This window comes from Homo sapiens, chromosome 8 (assembly GCF_000001405.40).
Source record: "Homo sapiens chromosome 8, GRCh38.p14 Primary Assembly".
Lineage (NCBI taxonomy): Eukaryota > Metazoa > Chordata > Mammalia > Primates > Hominidae > Homo > Homo sapiens.
The window spans coordinates 23,026,338-23,049,383 of NC_000008.11; the positions used below are offsets into that span (position 1 = coordinate 23,026,338).

Genomic DNA, 23,046 nt, shown 5'->3' on the forward strand with positions numbered 1-23,046 from the left:
TAGCAAAGGAGGTGGCAAAAGGGCAAAGGCAAGGGAAAAAGGAAGAATTGGTTGCTAAATGGGCTTGGAAGAAGGAAACAGAGACTCAGAATAATTCAGGGAGTTTCTCAGCTTATATTGAATCGAAAATTCAATTCTGTTTAGATTATATTGCTGTATGTTAAAAATCAAATCATTAAAAATAAAACACTGCAGGAAACTGGATAGTCTCATCTTATGTTCGAGGGAAGGACTTTCAGTGCTTACGAGCAATGAACAATAAATGTATATACAGATTTCCTGCCTACTCAATATCACATCAAAACTGATGGATTGATATGAACTGATTGTGTGCGTGTGTCCAATACAAAAGCCCTTTGTGCATCGACTTGGAATCCTACTTTTTGGAAGCTGCCCTACGAACTTTGAAATATGTTCAATGTAATAACAATTTCAGAGTAAATTTAAAACTCCTGCTGTTACAAGCAAGGGCTCACTGACTTCTGTTAGGAGCATACGATGGAGACTGTGCAGCCTTATTCACTCATCAATGAACCCTGTGACCCCCACTCTATGCCTGTGGAGCTCCAGGCTCGGGGGACACAGCAAGGACAGGACAGGGAGTAAGAAGCAGATGTCCTGCAGACTGGCACGGTCACCACCTCAGTGCAGCTGCTCCATCCCCTGCAGTCCCCTGGCTCCTTCAGGTTCCATTTCCCCTGGGCCAGGAGAGCTAAGGCACTGCCCTCTCCCACTGTCTACGAAATCCCAGGTGAGCAGCATGCCAGGAAACAAAATGATCTGTCCCCCACTCACCAGCAGATGCTCTGACTCCCCGGGGGACAACATGTTGACACCTGTTGGCTCTGCTGGCTCCTGGACTTCCATTTCCTGCTCAGGGACCTGGGTGGGCTGCAAGATACTCACGATCTCATTGAGGACATTGTCCTCAGCCCCAGGTCGTTGTGAGCTCTGGAAAAAGACATTGGGAAGGCAAAAAGCCGACTCAGGAGTCCACACCTAGGGCTCGCTGCAGGGTCCTCAGTATGCAGCTGCACCTGACATCCCCACCCCCTCTCAGTGAGGTCACCGCAGGCAGCCCAGACTCAGCACATCCAGGACCCGCTGCTGGGGCCAGGCCCCCAGTGCTGTGCTCAGGCAGACACCCCATCCCTAGGGTGCAGGCTGTGGGGTGAGGATGTCACCTGGGCTGCAGCAGGGCTCACCAGCCTATGTGGTGCTCAAAATGGCCATGTGTCCCCCACAGTCAGCCCAGAGCACCCAGGCCACTTCAGAGAGTCAGGGCAGCCATGAGGACAATGGGGACCCACCCACCCAGGTTCTGCTGTCCCAGGAAGCAGTTCCTGAACCCCTGAGCCCCCAGCTCCTGGAGAAATCAACTCACTCTGTCCACACGCTCAGGGTCCCCACCACCACCTAAAAAAGAAGCAGTCTCCTTAGCAGGAAGGGAGGGGCCCATGAAGCACCCCCCTCCCAGAGGACAGTGGGGCGCAGGGCTGGGCTGGGGGCTGGGACACTGGACAAGGAGCCCTGGGGCTGGGGACAGAATGGGGCCTTACAACTCAGAGACACCCTGAGGAAGGGGGATGAGAAGGGGAACTAGAGTAAAAACAAACACTTGGAAAATCTCTGGTTCTGCTCTGACCAAGGCTGAAAAAATCCCACGACCACTTCTCATCCTCACCCTTGTCACCCAGTTGAGGAGCCGACTGCCCCCTGCCTGGCTGGGCCTGAAGATGGGAGGAACTGGCCCTGCCCTCCTGGACTTGGCTGGGAGATATGGGGACCCCCAGACCTGGGAGAGGGACTGAAGAGACCAGGGTCCTGGGGGGTGCACGGGATGTGGGGATGGGGGTGACCACGAGGAGGAGGATAGAGCCAGGCTGGAGGCACTTAGACTTGGGGCAGGGGCAGGCGTTTCTGTCTGTGGGAATAGGGTGGGAGGGGGCAGGGCAGAGAGTGCCCTGTGCCCCCGCCCTCAGCCAGCACCTACCTGAGCAGATGCCTTTCAGGTAAGGAAGGACTTTCTTCCACAGTAAAGACTTGCAAACAAACACAGCCACAATCAAGACTACGGCTGCAACTGTGACTCCTATGATGATGCCTGAGAGAGAACAGGGAGAGGCAGGAGTCCCTGGGCTGGAGGTCACCGTCTCCTCCACAGCTGGGACTTCCCCACTGTGCTTTGTACCTGATTCTTTGTGGACACATTCGATGTCACTCCAGGGTGTACAATCACCGACCTTGACCATCCCTCTGGGACACCTGGGTACACACACAGAGGGAGAGGGGGGACTCTTGATGGAAAGCTGGCCAGGTGGGATGAAAGAGGAGCCACCCTCCCTCCCCAGTGTCCCTGAGAAGGTGTCAGGGGAAGGACAGTCTCCTCGTGTCAGCAGTGGGTCCCCCTGTGCTCCCTTCTTGAGGCTGGGGAAGGGTCTGAGCATGCGCACTTCAGCCCCTCGGCCTCCCTGCTCTGGGGTCAGAGCTGCAGTTCCAGGAGCCTTCTGTGCTGGGCACACACTGAGCTTCCCTGGGCTGCAGGGGAGGCCTGCGTTAGGAGCAATCACACTCCAGGGGAAGGTCACAAGCCCGTGTGGCCACAAGATGAGTCCGGTCTTCCAGTCAACCACAAAAGTGAGCTCTTGTCCCCAGCTGTCTGCCCATTTCCCCCAATCACAGCAAATACTAGGGGGGCCAGAGAAGAGCAAATTACTCTTGGCCCCTAAAACCCAAATAGGGAAAAGACAGGTCTTACTGAGGGATCAGGGGCCAGGGGTGAGGCCGGCTGGGTGGGCTCAGGTCCTCATGGGAACTTGAAGGAGCTCCACCCATGGCCTTATTATGCCTTTTGTGGGCCATGGGCACTTTTGTCTTTATGGGCCCCTGCATGCATAAAAATATTAAAAAATACATTTTATTGCTGAATTGGTATAAAGATGAATATATGCCTGGCTGCATTCTACTCATTCTTCTTATTTCAAGAGAAATTAAATCATTTCATGGGCCCCTAAAATTATCATGGGCCCCAAGTCATGGCCTTCTGTGGTCAGTGAACAAGTCAGCCTGGTCAAGGGGACTCGTGCTGGGGAGGGGTGGAAAGAGGCTGCTGCAGGGGGCAGGGGTGGTGACACGCAGAGGGACCAGGAGGGGCAGCCACAGCCTCAAGGATGCCCCTTGCGGGTGCTGTCAGGGGAGAGACAGGGGTACAAGGAGACTTGGGTCTTTTGGGGTTCCATGGAGCTACTGGGAGCCCCCGGCTCCTGTCTCACCCTGTGCGGCACTTCCGGCACATCTCAGGAGAATCTTCTTCCCGGAAGGTGCCTTCTTCGCACTGACACACTGTGTTTCTGGTCGTGGTGCAGGGACTTAGCTCCACTTCACCTGACGACAGAGCATAAGGTTTTGGGAATGTGTTTTCCTGATGTGTCCCTTGACCCTTCCTCCCCACCCCAAGACCCTGCTACTCAGCTCAACTCAGTTTGCCAAGGAGTTCTGAGGGCCAGTTTCTGCACCAGCACACTCATGGCTCATTCAGGATACCCACCCTTCAGCTGTCACTAACACTCGTTGAGTCATACAAAAGGACCACAGTTCATTATTTATTACATTAGATTAGGGGAAAGCACCGTTTAGGGGACAAGCATCGTTTAGATTGCATGGCCAGTAGCAAGGGAAGTGCAAGGGATCACCTGAGAGACTGCAAGGAGAGGAGCCCTTGGGGGACTTCCCCAAGGCCCAGCCTGCTGGGGAGGAGGGAGAGGCCTGAGAACCTGAAGGGTGAGTGAGGCCGAGCACCTGCCAGGAGCACAGAGCCCAGGGGAGAGAGCCTGGCCCCAAAGCAGACCTGTGCCACTGCTGAGATCCAGCCCTGTCCACTTGGCCTGGCTCATGGCCCCACCCCCTTGCAGCTGACAGTTTAAAAGATTTCCTTACCATGTAGCATACATTATACAAATAATTTCTGTATTATTATTATTTTAATTAATTATTGAGACAGGGTTTTGCTCTGTTGCCTGGGCTGGAATGCAGTGGCACAATCTCGGCTCCCTGCAACCTCGGCCTCCTGGGCTCAAGAGATCCTTCTGCCTCAGCTTCCTAAGTAGCTGGAAATACAGGCACGCGCCACCATGCCCGGCTAATGTTTATATTTTTGTAGAGACGGGGTTTCTCATGTTGCCCAGGATGGTTTCAAACTCCTGGGCTCAAGTGATGCCTCCCAAAGTGTTGAGATTACAGGCATGAGCCACTGTGCCGGGCCTGTTTTATTTATTAAAAAGCTCAAAGACAAAATCATGGAACATGGTATGATGAAGACCAAGGTGGACCAGAATCTAGGTCTCCTGATCCCATTTTAGCTACAACTTTTATGTCATCACCCCGCATTCCACCTTTAGGCATGGGGTCCATATGTTCTGTACCTGAATCACACCTGGTGCAGCGCAAGCAGAAAAGGAGGTCATTCCAGTGAGTGCTATAGTCCTGTCCATATTTGCAGGAGATGCAATCTCTACCGTCTTCTGAGATATGGTGTCCTGGGAGGGGAGAGAAAAGCCGGTGAATGAAATGCCACAGGATTCCCAGAAGCTGGCAGTGGTGGCTGGGGGACTCCTCTTTCAGGGATGTGTGGAACCAAAAGAGGGAAATCTCCTCTACCTAGCTTGGTCAGTTCATCAATTCTGCATTTACACACCTTAAACCAGCACTGCCAAAAGAAATATAAGCCACACATTTATTTATTTTATTTTTTATTTTTGAGACGTAGTCTCACTCTGTCACCCAGGCTGGAGTGCAGTGGCGTGATCTCGGCTCACTGCAACCTCCGCCTCCTGGGTTCAAGAGATTCTCCTGGCTCAGCCTCCTGAGTAGCTGGGATTACAGGCACACACTACCACACCTGGCTAATTTTTGTATTTTTTTAGTAGAGACAGGGTTTCACCGTATTGGCCAGGCTAGTCTCGATCTCCTGACCTCATGATCTGCCTGCCTAGGCCTCCCAAAGTGCTGGGATTACAGGCGTGAGCCACTGCACCCGGCCTATTTATTTATTTATTTATTTATTTATTTATTTATTTAGACAGGGTCTTGCTCTATAGCCCAGGCTGGAGTGCAGTGGTGTGATCTCAGCTCACTGCACCCTCGACCTCCCGGACCCTCCCTCTCCCCCCGACCCACAAATAGCTGGGACTACAGGTGCACACCACCACACCGGGTTAATTTTTAGTGTACTTTTTTTTTGTAGAGACGAGGTTTCACCATGTTGCCTAGGCTGGTCTCAAACTCCTGGGCTCAAGTGATTCACTCTCCTTGGACTCCCAAGGTGCTAGGAATACAGGTGTCAGCCACTGTGCCCAGCCCACATATGAAATTTAAATCCACACTCAGCACATTAAAAAAGGTGAGAAGGGGTGAAATTAATGTTAATAATGCATTTTAATTTAATGTACCCCAGATAATATCACTTAAATATGTAATCCACATAAAACATTGAGATATTTTACAGCATTTTTTTCACAGTACGTCTTCAAATCCTGCGTATATTTTAACTCATGGCACATCTCAATTTGCAGTAGCATTTTTTTTTTTTTTTTTGAGACGGAGTCTTGCTCTGTTGCCCAGGCTAGAGTGCAGCGATCTCGGCTCACTGCAACCTCTGCCTCCTGGGTTCAAGTGATTCTCCTGCCTCAGCCTCCCGAGTAACTGGGATTACAGGCACCCACCACCGCACCCGGCTAATTTTTGTGTTTTTAGTAGAGACGGGGTTTCACCATCTTGGCCAGGCTGTTCTCGAACTCCAGACCTCGTGATCCACCTGCCTCACATATTTCAAGTGATTGGCAATCACATGGGCCTAGGGACTACTATATTAGACAGTGCCATCTTAGACCTTTAAAATGCACAGAAGAATGTCCTAATACCTGTTCTGAATGAGCTCCTAGCCAGTGGAAGATACACCAGGAGCAGAAGTCATACAACAATGGGAAAAGCCTTCAAAATTAAAGCTCACACCATCAGCCATGGGAAGAAAACGGGAGGAATCTCTATAGAGTCAAAGAATGATCCAAAGAAAAGGGGACTAAAGCTGCCCTGGAATGAGGATATGTTTCAAAATTGGAAAGTGTGAGTCCCGCCAACTCTGCTTTTCTTTTACCAGATTGTTTTTGGTCAATAAGTCTTTTTAATTCCATACGACTTTGAATATAAGTTCTTCCATTTTTAAAATAACACCACTGAGATTTTGGTAGGGATTTCATTGAATCTGTATATTGCTTTGGGTAATTTAACACCATTTTGATCTATGAACATGGAATATCTTCCTGTTTATTTTGCTTTTTTAAAATTTCTTACAGCAATGTTTGATAGTTTTCAGCGTAAAAGTTTTGCAGTAGCAAAGAACAATCCAAAAAGGAAATTAAGAAAACAATTTCATTGACAATGACATAAAAATGAATAAAACATTTAGGAATGATATTTAACAAGGAGGTGCAAGACTTTTAAAAAACATTTGTCTGCACATCCAAGAAACTCAATGATCTCCAAGCAGGATAAGTTAAAAGAGAACTACACTGAGACACATTATAGTCAAATGGACAAAAGCCCAACACCAACAGAAAATCCTGAAAGTAGCAAGTGGCCCACTCAGTATGTACAAGGGAACCTCAATAAGGTTATTAGCTAATTTCTCACCAGGAACCATAGAGCCCAGAAGGGAGTGGGTAACATATTTAAAGTGCCAAGAAACAAAAACACAAGCATACAAAATCCTGCAACCAAGAATTTGATATCCAGGAACATTATCATTCAAGAATGAAGAAGAAATTAAGACCTTCTTAGATAAATGAAAGGTAATGGAGCACATTACTAGTAGATCTGCCCTGTGAAATGCTAAAAGGAATCCTTTAGGAGGTAATGTAATGACATTAGATAATAGCTCAAAGGCATACGAAGAGATAAAGAACACTGGAGGCCGGGTGCGGTGGCTCACGCCTGTAATCCCAGCACTCTGGGAGGCCGAGGCGGGCGGATCACGAGGTCAGGAGATCGAGACCATCCTGGCTAACACGGTGAAACCCCGTCTCTACTAAAAATACAAAAAAAAATTAGCCGGGCGAGGTGGCGGGCGCCTGTAGTCCCAGCTACTCGGGAGGCTGAGGCAGGAGAATGGCGTGAAACCCAGGGGCCGGAGCCTGCAGTGAGCCGAGATTACGCCACTGCACTCCAGCCTGGGCGACAGCGAGACTCCGTCTCAAAAAAAAAAAAAAAAAAAAAAAAAAAAAAAAAAAAGAACCCTGGAAAAGGTAACTATTTAGGTAAATATAAATGCTGGTACGCAGCTACTTAGGCTGCTATAATAAAATACCATAGACCAAGTGGCTTAAACAATAGACATTTATTTATCATAGTTCTAGAGATGGCCACCATCTTGCTGTGCATTTGCGTAACCTCTTCCTTGCACACACCAGAAGAGGGGGGGAGAGAGAGAGCGAGCAAGCGAGAGAGAGCAAGTTGTCTGGGTCTTTTCTTAAAAAGGCACTAATCCCATCATGAGGGCCCCACCCTCATGACCTCATCTAAACCCAATTACTTCCCAAAGGCACCATCTCCAAATACCATCTCATTGGATGGTAATGCTTCAACATATGATTTTGGGGACACAATTCAGTCTGTAGCACAGTATTATGGTACATTTGGTTTGTAAATCCTCTTATTTACTTATATGATTTAAAGAGCAAATGCAGAAAACAATAATTACAAATTGATGTTAATGGGCACACAATGTACAAGGATGTGATCTATAACAACAAGATGGAGGAGGAAAGACGGAGAAGTACAGGAGCACAGTGTTTGCATACCATTGAAGTTATGTTGTCATTACTCAAACTAAGCTCAAGTCCATCTCAGAAAGGGGCCAGTGGGTCCCCACACCCATCCTGTCTGATTTCCTCATTTTAGTATGTGTAATTGGAATAGACATACTCAGCAGCTGGCACAATCCCCACCTTCATTCCCTGACATGTGAAGTGAAGACTATTATGGTGGAAAAGACCAGGTGGAAGCCACCAGATTTGCATTTACTTAAAAAAAATAGTAAATCAAAAGCAATACCAGATGGGCATGGTGGCTCATGTCTGTAATTCCAGCACATTGGGAGGTCAGGGCAGGAGGATTACTTGAGGCCAGGGGTTTAAGACCAGCCTGGGCAACACAGTGAGACTCCATCTGTACACACACATACAAAATTATCCAGGTATGACAGTACATGCCTGTAGTCTTAGCTGCTCAAGAAGCTGAGGCAGGAGGATTGCCTGAGCCCAGGAGTTCAAGCTGCAGTGTGCTATGATTGTGCCACTGCACTCCAGCCTGGGTGACAGAGTGATACCCTGCCTGTAAAGCACAAAAAAACAAAAGCAATACAACATTCCTGGAGGGATTGCAGAGATCATTACCACCATCCAGGATGCATCTGTGGTGATTCCCATCACATGCCCATTGAACTTGACTATTTGGCCTGTGCCAAAGACAGATGGATCTTGGTGAATGACAGTGGATTATCATACGCTTAACCAGGTGGTGATTCCAGTTATAACTGTCCCAGATATGGTTTCATTGTTTGAGCAAATCGCCACATCCCTGGTACCCTGGTATGCAGGTGTTGAACTGGCAAATGCTTTGTTGGTCATACCTGTCAATAAAGACTCCCAGAAGCAGTTTGCTTTCAGTTGGCAAGGCCAGCAATATACCCTCACTATCCTGTCTCCGGGATGCATCAACTCGCAGCCCTATGTCATAATTTAGTTTGCAGGTATTTTTTTTTTTTTAATTAAACAGAGTCTTGCTCTGTCTCTCAGGCTGGAGTGCAGTGGCATGATCTCAGCTCACTGCAACCTGCACCTCCTGGGTTCAAGCGATTCTCATGCCTCAGCCTCCCAAGTAGCTGGGATTACCCATGTGTGCCACCACATCCAACTAATTTTTGTATTTTTAGTAGAGATGAGGTTTCACCATGTTGGCCAGGCTGGTCTAGAACTCCTGGTCTCAAGTGACCCAGCCACCTTGGCCTCTCAAACTGCTGGGATTACAGGCGCGAGCCACCACATCTGGCCTGCAGGGATATTGATGGCCTTTCCCTTCCACAAGATAACACACAAGACGATCCATTATACTGATGACATTATACTGATTGAACCTCACGAGCAAGAAGTAGCAACTATTCTAGACTTAATGGTAAGACATTTGCATGTCAGGGGGTGGGAAATAAATCTGACAAAATTTCAAGGGCCTTTTACCTCAGTAGAAGGACAACAACTGGGAAACAAATTCCTAGTTGTTGAATGATGTGGCACATAAGATATTCCTTCTCTTCTAAGATATTCTAAGATAAAAGATAAATTGTTGTATCTGCCACCCCCACCTCCCTACAACCAAGAAAATGACACAATGCCTAGTGTGCTTATTTTGATTTTGGTGGCAACATATTCCTCATTTGGGTGTGTTTCTCTGGCCTATTTATCAAGTCACCTAAAAATGTGCTAGTTTTGAGTGGTGCTCAGAACAAGAAAAGGCTCTGCAACAGGTCCAGGCTGCCGTAGACATTTTTCTGTCACTTGGGCCATACGACCCAGCAGACCCAACGGTGCTTGAAGTATTGGTGGCAGACAGCAATGCTGTTTTGAACCTTTAGTAGCCCACTCTAGGTCAACCACAGCACAGGCCCTTAGGTTTTGGAGCAAAGACTTGCCATCCTCTGCAGATAACTACTCTCCTTTTGAGAAACAGCTCTTGGCTTGTTTCTGGGCCTTAGTGCAGACTGAATGGTTAACCATAGGCCACCAAATTACTCTACGACCTGACTGCTCATCGTGAACTGAGTGTTATTTTGCCTACCAAGCCATAAGTTTGGGCACATACAGCCTAAAGTTTCCATTTCCATTTTCAAATGTAATTGGTATATATACAAAATTGGGCTTAAATAGGCCCTGAAGGCACAAGAAAGTTACATGAAGAAGTGGCCCAAGTGCCCATGATCCCCACTCCTGCAATATTACTTTCTTTTGCCTGGCCTGCACTTATGGCCTCATGAGGAATTCCCTATGGTCAGTTGCCAGAAGAAGGTTTACAGATGGTTCTGCACCACATACAGGTAACCCTTAGAAGTGGATGTTTGCAGCATCACATCCACTGTCTGGGACGTCCCTGAAGGACAGTGGTGAAAAGAAATCCGCTAGGCCGGGTGTGGTGGCTCACACCTGTAATCCCAGCACTTTGGGAGGCCGAGGTGAGTGGATCACCTGAGGTCAGGAGTTCGAGACTGGCCTGACCAACATGGTGAAACCTCGTCTCTACTAAAAATACAAAATTACCGAGCATGGTGGCACATGCCTGTAATCCCAGTTACTTGGGAGGCTGAGGCAGGGGAATCACTTGAACCCGGGAGGCAGAGGTTGTAGTGAGCCGAGGTCGCCCCATTGCACTCTAGCCCGGGCAACAATAGCGAAACTCCGTCTCAAAAAAAAGAGATCCTGCCACTGGGCAGAACTCTGAGCAGTACACCTGGTTGTTCATTTTGCTTGAGGGAAGAATGGCTAGACATGTAGTTATATACTGATTCATGAGCTGTGGTCAATGATTTGGCTGGAGGGTCAGAGGCTCTGAAGGAAAACTGATAACAAGGAAGTCTGGGGAAGAGGTGTGTGGATAGACCTTTCTCAATGGGTAAAAAAACCATGAAGATATTTGTGCCCCATGTGACACAAATATCTTCACAAAAAGTGATCTTAGCAGGGAAGGATTTTAATAATCAGGTGGATAGGATGACCTGTTCTGTGACTACCAGTCAGCTTCTTTCCCAGCCATCCTTGTCATCACTCAATGGGCTCATGAACAAAGTGTGCATGGTGGCAGGGATGGAGGTTATGTATGGGCTTAACAATACAGACTTCCCTCACCAAGGCCAACCTGGCTACAGCTGCTACTGAGTGCCCAATCTATAGGCAGCAGAGTCCAACACTGAGTCTCTGATATAGCACCATTCAGAGGGTCAGTCTGCCAGCTACCTGGTGGCAGGTTGATTATTACACTGAACCATTTCTATCATGGAGGGGGCAGCATTTTTACTGGAAGAGAAGCTTATTTTGCACATAGACTTGCCTTCCCTGCATGCAATGCTTCTGTCAAAACTATCCTCTGTGGACTCACAGAATGCCTTATCCACAGTCATGGTATTCACACAGCATTGCTTCTGATTGAGGGACTCACTTGATGGCAAATGAAGCGCCCACTATAATGGGCCTGTGCTCATGGAATTACTGGTCTTACCATGTTCCCCACCATCTCAAAACTGCTGGCTTGGTAAGATGGTGGGATATGGCTTTTTGAAAACTCATTTACAATGTCAGCTGGGTGGCAGTACCTTGAAGGGCTGCAACAAGGTTCTCCAGGAGACTGTCTATGCTCTGAATTATCCTCCAATACATGCGGTTGCTTCTTCCATTGCTAGGATTCATGTGTCCAGGAATCTAGGGGTGGAAGCAGGAATGGCCCCACTCCACATTACCCTTAGTGGCCTGTTATCAAAATTTTTGCTGCTTTATGCTTTGCTAGAGCTCTGAGTTTCAGAGGGAGGAATGATTCCATGAGGAGACACAACAGTGATTCTGTGTAACTTGAAGACTGCCACTTGGCCACTTTGGGTTCCTCATGCCTCTGAATCAACAGGCGAAAACCAGTTACACAAACCCTGCTGGCTGGATTGACTGATTCTGAACACAAAGGGGAAATTGAAGGGAAAATTGGACTGTTATTCCACAATGGACGTAAGGAAGAGGATGTCTAGAATACAGGAGATTCCTTAGGGCATCTCTTAGTATTACCATGCCCTGTGAGTAAAGTCAATGGAAAACTACCACGACCCTATTAAAGCAGGACCACTTATAGCTCAGACCCTTCAGGAATAAAGGTTAGTTCACTCTACCAGGCACAGAGCCATGACCAGCTGAGGTGCTTAGTGAGGGCACAGGGAATACAGAATGCACAGCGAAAGAAGCTTCTTATAAATACCAGCTACAATGACATGACCAGCTATGGAAATAAGGACTGTAATCATTATAAGTATTTCTTCCTTATTGTGTTATGTGTGTGTGTTTATGTGTAAATATATGTTAAGCGAATATCTGTGTTTTCTTCCTTCTCTTATCCCCTTGTTATGTAACACAAGATATTTTGAATTTATATCATAGTATTTAAGTATTGTTCACTTTATAGTATTTATGTTCCAGGGTATCAAGGAAAGGAGTAAACACCACTCAAGAACTTTGCATCCTCTTCTGGAGAAAGGGTTAGTGCGTTTTCAGTTGTATACAGGATAGCTGTATTATGTTAGGTGGAAATATAATCTTATTATTTCCATTACTTGGAGATCAAGTATGGTTTAAAAGAATTTCAAATCTTTAAAAATTCTGTATTAGTCAGGGCTCTCTAGAGCAGGGGTCTCCAACATTTTTGCCACCAGGGACTGGTTTCCTGAAAGACAATTTTTCCACGGACTGGAGTTGGGGGCATGGGGATGGTTTCAGGATGATTCAAGCATGTTACATTTATTGTGCACTTTATTTCTATCACTATTATATGGTAACATATAATGAAATAATTATACAACTCACTATAACGTAGAATCAGTGGAAGCCCTGAGTTTATTTTCCTGCAACTAGATGGTCCTATCTGGGGGTGATGGGAGACAGTGACAGATCATCAGGCATTAGATTCTCATAAGGAGTGCGCAACCTAGATCTCTCAAATGTGGAGTTCACAATAGGGTTCACGCTCCTATGAAGTCTAATGCTGCCGCTGATTTGACGGCATGCAGAGCTCGGGCAGTAATGCTCACTCATCTACAGCCCACCTCCTGCTGTGTGGCCTGGTTCCTAACAGGCCACGGACCAGTACTGGTCCATGGCCTGGGGGTCAGGGGCCCCTGCTCTAGAGAGATAAAGATTTATCTTAAGGAATTGGTTCACATAACTGTGGAGGCTGGCAAATTCAAAAGGTACAGGATAGGCCAGCAGAGAAGAGTCACAGCTCAGGTCTGAAGGCTGCCTGCTGGCAGAACACCCTCTTTCTTGGTGGAGGTCAGTCTTTTTTCTATTGAGGCTTTCAACTGATTAGATGGGACCTGCCAACATTAAGGGGGTAATCTGCTTGACTCAAAGCCCACTGATTTAAATGTTAATCCCATCTAAAACCAACAACAAAACAACAACAACAAACACACCTTCACAGAAACATCTAGGATAATATTTGGCCAAGTATCTGGGTAACCAAGTTGACACATAAAATCAACCATCACAAGTCAACCTTGCTCCATACACATACATGTCCTTAAGATCGACGTCAGTGGTCACACAACGTGCAAGGATGTGATCTATGACAGCAACAATAGAAAGCTGGAGAGATGGAGTGGTACAGGAGCACAGTATTTGGATTGCAATGAAATTCTGCCGGTATTATAAAACTACCTGTTTAGATACTTAAGAAGGTAATTGTAATCTTCAAGGAAACCAGTAAGAAAATAAGTTTTAGGCTAGGTGCGTGGCTCATACCTGTAATCCCAACACTTTGGGAGGCCGAGGCAGGTGGATCACTTGAGGTCAGGAGTTTGAGACAGCCTGACCAACATGGTAAAACCCTGTCTCTGCTAAAAATCAAAAATTATCCAGGCATGGTGGCTACTCCCTGTACTCAGGAGGCTGAGGCAGGAAAATCGCTTAAACCCAGCAGCCATAGGCTGCAGTGAGCTGAGATCGCACCACTGCACTCCAGCCTGGGTGACAGAGCAGACCCTGTCTCAAAAAATATATATATATCTATATATATATTTAAGATATGTATCTTTAAGATATATACTAAGTATATATTTAAATATATATTTATTAAATATATATATAATATATATTTATTAAATATATATAATATATATTTAATAAATATATATACAAAATATATATTTATTAAATATATACAAAATATATATTTAATAAATATATATACAAAATATATATTTATTAAATATATATACAAAATATATATTTATTAAATATATATATACAAAATATATATTTATTAAATATATATACACAAAATATATATTTAAGAAAAACAGAAAATATATTTTAAAATATGCAGAAAAGAAAAGAAGTGAGTGAAAATGGTACATGCCAAGAAATAAACTAAAGTTTTTTCAAAAGGTGATAAGGGAGGAACAAAATATATATAAGACATAAAGAAAACAAATAACTGAAGAGCAGAAACAAATCTTTTCTTGTCAATAACTATGTTAATTGAAAATAGTTTAAACTCTGCAATTAAAAGGCAGAGAGTGGCAGAATGAGTAAAAACAAACGCAAAAAATAGACCATAATCACCTATATGCTAGCCACAAGATTCCTGAATTATTTTTATTAATATTGAAAGACATTCTAAAAAATCCAAATTACACAAACCTTACTTAATAATGTAAGTATCATACATAATCATAGTGATTCATGTCACTGATAAAAACGTGATTATTTAATAATAGTGTTGGGGCAACCAAAAAGGTGGCTGTCAAATAATAATGTGTCTTCCTCACTCTCCTCTTACTACAAAATGAAGTCCATGTGGCTCAATGACTTAATTACAAAATAGGAAACCACAAAATGACTGCAAAGATATATGATAATTTTTTTTTTGTTGTTTTTTTTTTTTGAGACAGGGTCTCACTCTGTCACCCAGGCTGAAGTGCAATGGCGTGATCTCAGCTCACTGCAACCTCTGCCTCCCGGGTTCAAGCGATTCTCCTGCCTCAGCCTCCCAAGTAGCTGGGACTACAGGCACGCCACTATACCCAGCTAATGTTTGTATTTTTAGTAGAAACAGGGTTTCGCCATGTTGGTCAGGCTGGTGTCAAACTCCTGGCCTCAAGTGATTTGCCCACCTTGGCCTCTCGAAGTGCTGGGATTACAGGTGTGAGTCACTGCGCCCGGCGTTATATGGGAATTTTTATTAGAATTTTGGACCCAGCGCAGTGGCTCACGCCTGTAATCCCAACACTTTGGAAGGCCGAGGTGAGAGGATCGCTTGAGCCCAAGTGGTTGAGGCTACAGTGAGCTATGATCCTGCCACCGCACTCCAGCCTGGGCAACAGAGTGAAATCCTATCTCAATCAGTCAATCAATCAATCAATCAATGTATAATTTCCCTAATCTGTAAGAATTCATGTGACTCAATGATTTAAAAAAAAAAAAAAAAAAAACCTAACCTCTTACTAGGAGTGAAGAAAACCTAGGAGAACCAGTGTACAAACAGTGTCTGTGTCATGAACAGATTCTTGACCTCATTCACAGGAAGAGAAATGCACATTTCGAGGAGTTTCCACATCTCAGTCCTTGACACTTGCTATGGCCTGCTCCCTGTGGCTGGAAGGGCCATCTCTCCTCTAGGATGGAAGTTCTCCAACTGCTCCTGCTCAGCCCATTGCAGTCCTGTCTCCCTGGCCTATCGTCTCCAACTTCAAATCCTCATGGGCTCAGTTGTGCCCCTCCTCAGTATTTACAACTTCTTCCAGGTGGACACACTCAAGACAGCGGCTTCAAGCATCACCTATGTGCTAGGGTCCCCAAATGTGTACTGCTAGCCCTGCCACACACTGTCCCCTCAGAGGCCAAGTTACCCTGAGCAGTTGAATTTGGTGCCTCGATTGTCCTCATTCCCCACACGTCATCCATCCACACCCCAAATATGTCTTGAGTCCTTCCTATTCCCGTCCTGCTTCCTGGTCTTGACCCTGGACCACAGCAATAGGAGCATTTACAGATGAGTTTGTGTCTGCTTCACGCTGGGTTCTTCCTTCTCCATGCTCTGCTCCTGGCAAGCCCACATGTGCAATGTGAGGGTTTGCCCTCAGGCAAGCCTTTCCTGTGGCCCTTAGTCATGGAAAAGAAATGCAACTTTGTAAATGGATTTTAAAAGCCACTGCTTGCCACACTTGCCTGCCCTGGAAACCTTCATGCAGCAATCAATTCCTAACTCATACACATGGGGGAAAAGGGGGAAGAAGTGCGAGGCGAACACAACAGTCAAGCACACTTCAGGCCAGGTTCCTGCTGCATCTCTGGGGGCTCAAATGACCTTACGGGACACCACATAACATCCCAGGGGAGCGCCTCACACTCAAGGCCCTCCACCTGCTTCCTGTCTTGCTCCGGTTCAGTCCAGGAGTGGGCACTCAAGATGTACATCCGATGCTGGTGGCCCTCTGCTGAAAACTTCTCAGGGACATCCATCACTCATGAAATAAAATCCAGCTTCATCTGTGTGGGATCTGACCCCACGTGTCTCTCTAACTTCCTAACCCTCCACTCCCCACAGCAGCCCCCTGCTGTTGCTCCATCTTCTCCAACTCTTGCCCCCTGGCAATTGTTCCAGTGGAACCCTCCTAGGAGCACTCTTCCTGGCTCTCTGAACCTCTGGCCCTGCCCTCCTCCGGATGTCAGCCCAAAGTCACCATTGCCTGGAGGCCTCACCAGCCCCATCTCTGTCCCACTCAATTCTCTCTCAAGGTTCCTATCAGTTTCTTTGGCTGTCTCATTCATTTGTGTGTCTTGATACCATCCTAGCAGGAAGGCTCCAGAAGGACAGAGCCTTGAACTGGAGGCACCCAATGCCTCTCTGTGGAATAAAGAACAAGGAAGTGCAAAGGAAACAGACTGGAAGCTCATGGAGACAAGGGGAGGAGGGGCAAGGATTAGAGACCCATCTTGAACATACCAGGTGGACACAATCCCTCTGAGGGGCTGGACCTCTTTTGTTGTGGGGCCGCTCTCTGCTGGGGAGCTAGGTCTTGTTGGGTGATCAGAGCAGACTCAGCTGAGACCTGTGGGGACAAAGCAGGGATGGGCATGAGTGGCTTCCAGACCTCACCCCTCCCAGGATCCACTCACATTCTCTTGAGCCCAGGCACCCAAGCTAAACAGAACCCTCATCTTTCTTGCAGCTCTCACCTCTCAAACATCCTTTAGTGTTTGTTTGTCCCTTCATATTTCAGGGAAGGCCAAGTAACATACACCTGCAAAACTCTTCTAAACATGTTCATTCCAGAAAATGTGGGCAAGGAAAGTTTTTACAAGAATACACAGACCACACGTGATATTCTCAGCTAAAGATAGCATCCATTAATATTTTGTCTCATTTAGTTCCACTATTTTTCCATAGGTATGCCTATTCTCTCTTTCTCTCTTTCTCTTATTCTCTCTCACACAGACATACACACAGACACACATTTTTATAAATGGGGGTTATAATATAGCAAACTTAAAAAATTGGGATACAGGATCAAACATTAAATAGTGAACTTCTGATTTAAAAGGTGCCTGACATATAGACCAGAGAGCCCAGAAATGAACTTGCACGTACAACCATGTATTGCTCAACATTGTTCTGAGCAAAGGGTCATTAGGCAATTGTGTTGTGTGAACATCAGAAGAGTGTACTTACACAAACCTAGATGGTGTATCCTATGACACACCTGGCCTATATGGTATAGCCTTTTGCTCCTAGGCTACAAACCTGTGTAGCATGTTACATAATTGCATGGAGCCACCATCACATATGCAGTCTGTTGTTGACAGAAATGTTGTTATGTGGTGCATGACTGTATATGATCAAGTAATTTTTGGCAAAGGTATAAAGACCATTTAATTGAGAGGACAATCTTTTTAAAAATGGTCTTGGGAAATCTAGACATTGACTCATCACAAAACAATGACCTCGGACCTTTAACTTACACGTATACAAAAATTAACTCAAAATGGATCCAAAATCTAACATAAAAGTGAAAACCCTAAAACTTAGAAGAAAACATAGGAACTATTCTTCCTGACCTTGGATTTGGCAATGATTTCTTGAATGTGATCCCCAAAACACAAGCAATATAGGAAAAAAAGTAGATAAATTGCACTATGTAAAAATTAAAAACTTTTGTGCATCCAATGATGATCAACAGTGAAGGGGCAACCCACAGGAAGAGGAAAACATTTGCTAGTTGTATATCTGATAAAAGGTTAATATCTAAAATATATAAAAAACTCCAACTCAACAACAACAACAAAAAGCCAACAATGTGATTAAGAAATGAACAAAGAACTTGAATGGTAACAAGCTCCTGAATAGCCAATGTGTCAAAGAGGAAATCAAAAGGGAATTTTAAGAGTATATTAGAAAATGAAATGGAAACATAACATAACCAAATGTATGGGATGCAGCAAAAGCAGTTTTAAGAGGAAATGGCAATAAACGCCTACATCAAAAAAGAAGAAAGATCTCAAATACAAGACTTAATGTTGTACCTCAAGGAAATAGAAGAAAAGATACACTAAGCCCACAGTTAGCAGAACAAAAGAAATAATAAAAATCAGAGCAAAAATAAATAGAGACTGAAAAAAATACAAAAGATTATCAAAATTCTGTTAGTTTTTTGAAAAAATAAATGAAATCACTAAACTTTAACTAGACTAACTAAGAAAAAAGAAAGAAGACAAATAAATTAAATCAAAAATGAATGAGGAGGCCAGGTGCAGTGGCTCATGCCTATAATCCCAGCATTTTGGGAGGCCGAGACGGATGGATCACTTGAGGCCAGGAGTTGGAGACCAGCCTGGCCAACATGGCAAAACCTCGTCCCTAATAAAATACAAAAAAAAAAAAAAAAAAAAAAAGCCAGGCATGGAGGTGTGCATCTGTAATCCCAGCTACTTGGGTGGCTGGGGCACAAAAATCACTTGAACCTGGGAGGTGAAAGTGGCAGTAAGCTGAGATTGTCACACTGCACTCCAGCCTGGGCAACAGAGGGAGACTCTGTCTCAAATAAAAAAAAAAATGAGACACATTACAATGCATACCACAGAAATGCAAAGGATCATATGAAAATATTATGAACAATTATATGCCAAAGGATTGAACCACCCGGAAGAAATGGATAAATTTCTAGACACATACAACCTACCAATACTGAATCATGAAGAAATGGAAAATCCGAACAGACCAATAATGATTAAGGATATTGAATCAGTAATGAAAAGTCTCCTATCAAAGAAACACCCAGGACCCAGAAGGCTTCACTGCTGAATTCAGCAAAACATTTAAACAAGAACTAAAACCAATCCTTTCTAAACTTTCCCAAATAAATTACAGAGGAGGGACTACTTCCAAACTTATTTTACAAGGCTTGCATTACCTTGATACCAAAGCCAGAATAGAACACTGTAAGAAAAGAAAATTATAGGCCAATATCTCTAATAAACACAGATGCAAAAATCTTCAATAAAATACCAGTAGACCAAATTCAATAGCTCATTAAAAGAATCATTGACCATGATAAAATGGAATTTGTTCCTGGGATGCAAAGATGGTTCAACATATGAAAATCAATAAATGTGATATACCATATTAACAAAATGCAGGACAAAAACAATATGATCACCTCATTAGATGTAGAAAAAGCATTTGACAAAACACAACATTCTTTCATGATAAAAACTCTAATCAAATTAGGTGTAAAGGGAATGTATCAACACAAAAAAAGCCTTATATGACAAGCTTACAGCTAATATCATACTCAGCAGTGAAAAGCTGAAAGCTTTTCCTTTAATATCAGGAACAACACAAGGATGCTCACTCTCACCACCTCTTTTCAACATGGTACTGGAAGTCCTAGCCAGAGCAATTAGGCAAGAAAAAGAAAAGAATTATTAGGTATTCAAATAGAAAAGGAAGAAGTAAAATTGTCTATTTGCCGATGACATGATCTTCTGTATAGAAAACCCTGAAGACTCCACCAAAAAACTGTTAGAAATTTGTAAACAAATTCAGTAAGGTTGTGGGATACAAAATCAACATATGAAAATCAGTAGCATTTCTATATATTAATAATGAACTATATGAAACAGACATTAAGAAAACAAACCTATTAAGAGCAATGACAAAAAAAAATTAGTAAATTTAACTAAGGAAGTGAAAGACCTGTATGTTAAAAACCGTAAAACACTAATGAACAAAACAGAAGAGACAAATAAAACGGAAAGAGACACAAATGCATGAAAATAAATGTTCATGACTTGGAAGAACTAATATTGTTAAAATGTCCATACTATCCAAAGCAATCTATAGGCTCAATGTAATCACTATCAAAATTCCAATATCATTTTTCATAGAAATAGAGAAAACAATCCTAAAATTCATATGCAACCATAAAAAAAAAAAAAAAAAAACACAAATAGCCAAGGCAATCATGATCAAAAAGTACAATGCTGGAGGCATCACACTACCTGATTTCAAACTATACTACAAAGCAATAATAATTAAAACAGCATGGCACGGGTATAAAAATGGACATATTGACCAATGGAACAAAATACAGAGCCTATAAATGAATCCACATAGCTATGGTCAATTGATTTTTGCCAAAAGTGCCAAGAATACACAGTGGGAAAAAAAAGTCTCCACAATAAATGGTGTTAGGAAAGCTGGATATCCATATGCACAAGAATGAAACTGGACCCTTATCTTACACCATATACAAAAATCAACTCAAAATGGATTAAAGACTTAAATATATGACCTTAAACTATTAAACTGCTAGAAGAAAACACAGGGGCTAAAACTACACAACATTTATCTGGGCAACATTTTTTAAAATTTGACCCCTAAAGTGCAAAAAACAAAAGCAAAAATAGACAAATGGAATTATATCAACATAAGAAGTTTCTGCGGAACCTGAGGTCGGGAGTTCAAGACCAGCCTGATCAACATGGAGAAACCCCATCTCTACTAAAAATACAAAATTAGCTGGGCATGGTGGCATGCACCGGTAATCCCAGCTACTCAGGAGGCTGAGGCAGGAGAATCACTTGAACCCAGGAGGTGGAGGTTGCCGTGAGTCAAGATCATGCCATTACACTCCAGCCTAGGCAACAAGAGTGAAATTTCATCTCAAAAAAAAAAAAAAAAAGTTTCTGCACAACAAAGGAAACAACAGAGTGAAGCAATAAGCTACAGACTGGGAGAAAATATTTGCATACCATACATCTGATAAGGGGTTAATATCTAAAATATATAAGGAACTCAAATAATTCTATTCAAAGAGAAAAAATAATCTGATTACAAAATGGGCAAGGGACCTGAGTAGACATTTCTCAGTAGAAGACACACAAATGGTCAACAGATATTTGAAAAAAAAAAACTCAACATCACGAATCATTAGGGAAGTGCAAATTAAAACCACAATGAGATATCATCTCATACCTATCAGAATGGCCATTATCAAAAAGATGCACGATAACAAGTGTTGGTGAGGATATGGAGAAAAGGGAACCCTTGCTTACTGTTGGTGGGAATGTAAATTAGTACAGCCATTACAGAAGGCAGTATGGAGCTTCCTCAAAAAACTAAAAATAGAATTATTATATGCTCCAGCAATCCCACTTCTGGGTATTTACCAAAAAGATTTGAAATCAGTATATCAAGGAGATATCTGCACTTCCATGTTCATTGCAGCTCTATTTACAACAGCCAAGTTATGCAATCAACCTGTGTCCACCAACAGATAAATGGATAAAGAAAATGTGGTATGTAGACAATACAGAATACTATTCAGCCTTTAAAAAGATAGAAATTTTGTCACTTGAAACAACATGGATGGAATTGGAATACATCATGCTAAGTGAAATAAGTGAGGCACAAAAAGAGAAATACTGTATGTTTTCATACATGAAATTGAAAACAACGAGGCTGGGCACGGTGGCTCATGCCTGAATCCCAGCACTTTGGGAGGCCAAGGTAGGGTGTGGATCACCTGAGGTCAGGAGTTCGAGACCAGCCTGGCCAACATGGTGAAACCCTGTTTCTATTAAAAATACAAAAATTAGCTGGGCGTGGTGGTGGGCATCTGTAATCCCAGCTACTCAGGAGGCTAAGGCAGGAGAATCACTTGAACCCGGGAGGCGGAGGTTGCAGTGAGCTGAGATGGCACCATTGCACGACAGCCTGGGCAACAAAAGTGAAATTTTTGTGTCAAAAAAAAAAAAAAAAAAACAACTGAACTCAGAAGCAGAGAATAGAATGGTGGTTACTAGAGTCTGGGCACGGGGGAATGGGGAGATGATAATCAAAGGTACAAACCATTGGTTAGACAGGAGGAATAAGATTTTTGAGATCTGTTGCACAGTGCAATGAATGTAGTTAATAACAGCATATTGTACATTTCAAAATTGCTAAAAGAATAAATTTCAAATGTTCTCACCATAAAAATGTTAAGTATTTGAGGTGTTGGACATATTAGCTGATTTAATTATTCCATATTGTATTCATAAATCATAACATAACTTTGTACCCTATAAATCCCCATAAATACATACAATTTATTGGGAGTTGCCATGTTGCCCAGGCTGGTCTTGAACGTTCGCCTGGGCTCAAGCAGTCCTCCTGCCTCAGCCTCTCAAAGTGCTGAGATTACAGGCATGAGCCACTGTGCCTGGCCGTAATTTCTTAATTTACAATAAAAATTTTTAAAAAATTTTAAAAAGGGCAAAGGACTTGAAAGACATTTCTCCAAAGAAGATAAGCAAATGGCCCATAAGCACATGAAAAGATGCTCACCACCACTAACGTCTACTATATTAAAAACAACAGCATGGAAAATAACAAGTGCTGGTGAGGTGTGAAGAAACTGGAACCTTCGTGCCCTGTTGGTGGGAATGTAAAACACACACTGGGAAAAACAGTATCGTGGCAGGCCAGGTTTCACTCAGCCCTCCATCACAACTGTGTCAGTACTGACTGAGTGGTTAAGTTAAATATTAAAAGCTAAAAAAAGCCAGTGCCCTTATATAAAGGCTGGGATGTAACAAAACCCCACCAAGAGTTTTGCCTAGGCCTTTCCTGGGCCTTAAAGCATGACAAAATAATGAAGAAATTCTTAACAAGGACTCATTTAGGATTAAACAAGTTTTACTGGGGGTC

The 23,046-nt window shown here is 43.7% G+C and overlaps 1 protein-coding gene across 3 annotated transcripts in view, besides 2 other annotated features; it reads right to left on the bottom strand.

The window, feature by feature from the left end:
- Positions 1-23,046, bottom strand: part of TNFRSF10B (TNF receptor superfamily member 10b) — a 48,899-nt gene that overhangs the window by 6,205 nt on the left and 19,648 nt on the right. The window contains exons 2-8 of one of the 3 annotated variants that reach the window (NM_147187.3): positions 16,801-16,906; positions 4,422-4,535; positions 3,273-3,384; positions 2,192-2,265; positions 1,994-2,104; positions 1,385-1,416; positions 796-951 (exon numbers count right to left, since the gene is read on the bottom strand). In NM_147187.3, coding sequence (NP_671716.2) covers positions 796-951; positions 1,385-1,416; positions 1,994-2,104; positions 2,192-2,265; positions 3,273-3,384; positions 4,422-4,535; positions 16,801-16,906 — 705 coding nt within the window. Of the gene's footprint in view, positions 1-795; positions 952-1,384; positions 1,417-1,993; positions 2,266-3,272; positions 3,385-4,421; positions 4,536-16,800; positions 16,907-23,046 lie in introns of all 3 variants that reach the window. The other 2 variants (NR_027140.2, NM_003842.5) reach the window with 2 other exon arrangements.
- Positions 1,908-2,408: an enhancer, noted in NCBI's record as "H3K27ac hESC enhancer chr8:22885758-22886258 (GRCh37/hg19 assembly coordinates)". NCBI's record gives its function as "activates a minimal SCP1, AML or CMV promoter by ChIP-STARR-seq in primed H9 embryonic stem cells {active_cell/tissue: H9 hESC(primed)}" and the evidence as "EXISTENCE:reporter gene assay evidence [ECO:0000049][PMID:30033119]".
- Positions 2,409-2,909: an enhancer, noted in NCBI's record as "H3K27ac hESC enhancer chr8:22886259-22886759 (GRCh37/hg19 assembly coordinates)". NCBI's record gives its function as "activates a minimal SCP1, AML or CMV promoter by ChIP-STARR-seq in primed H9 embryonic stem cells {active_cell/tissue: H9 hESC(primed)}" and the evidence as "EXISTENCE:reporter gene assay evidence [ECO:0000049][PMID:30033119]".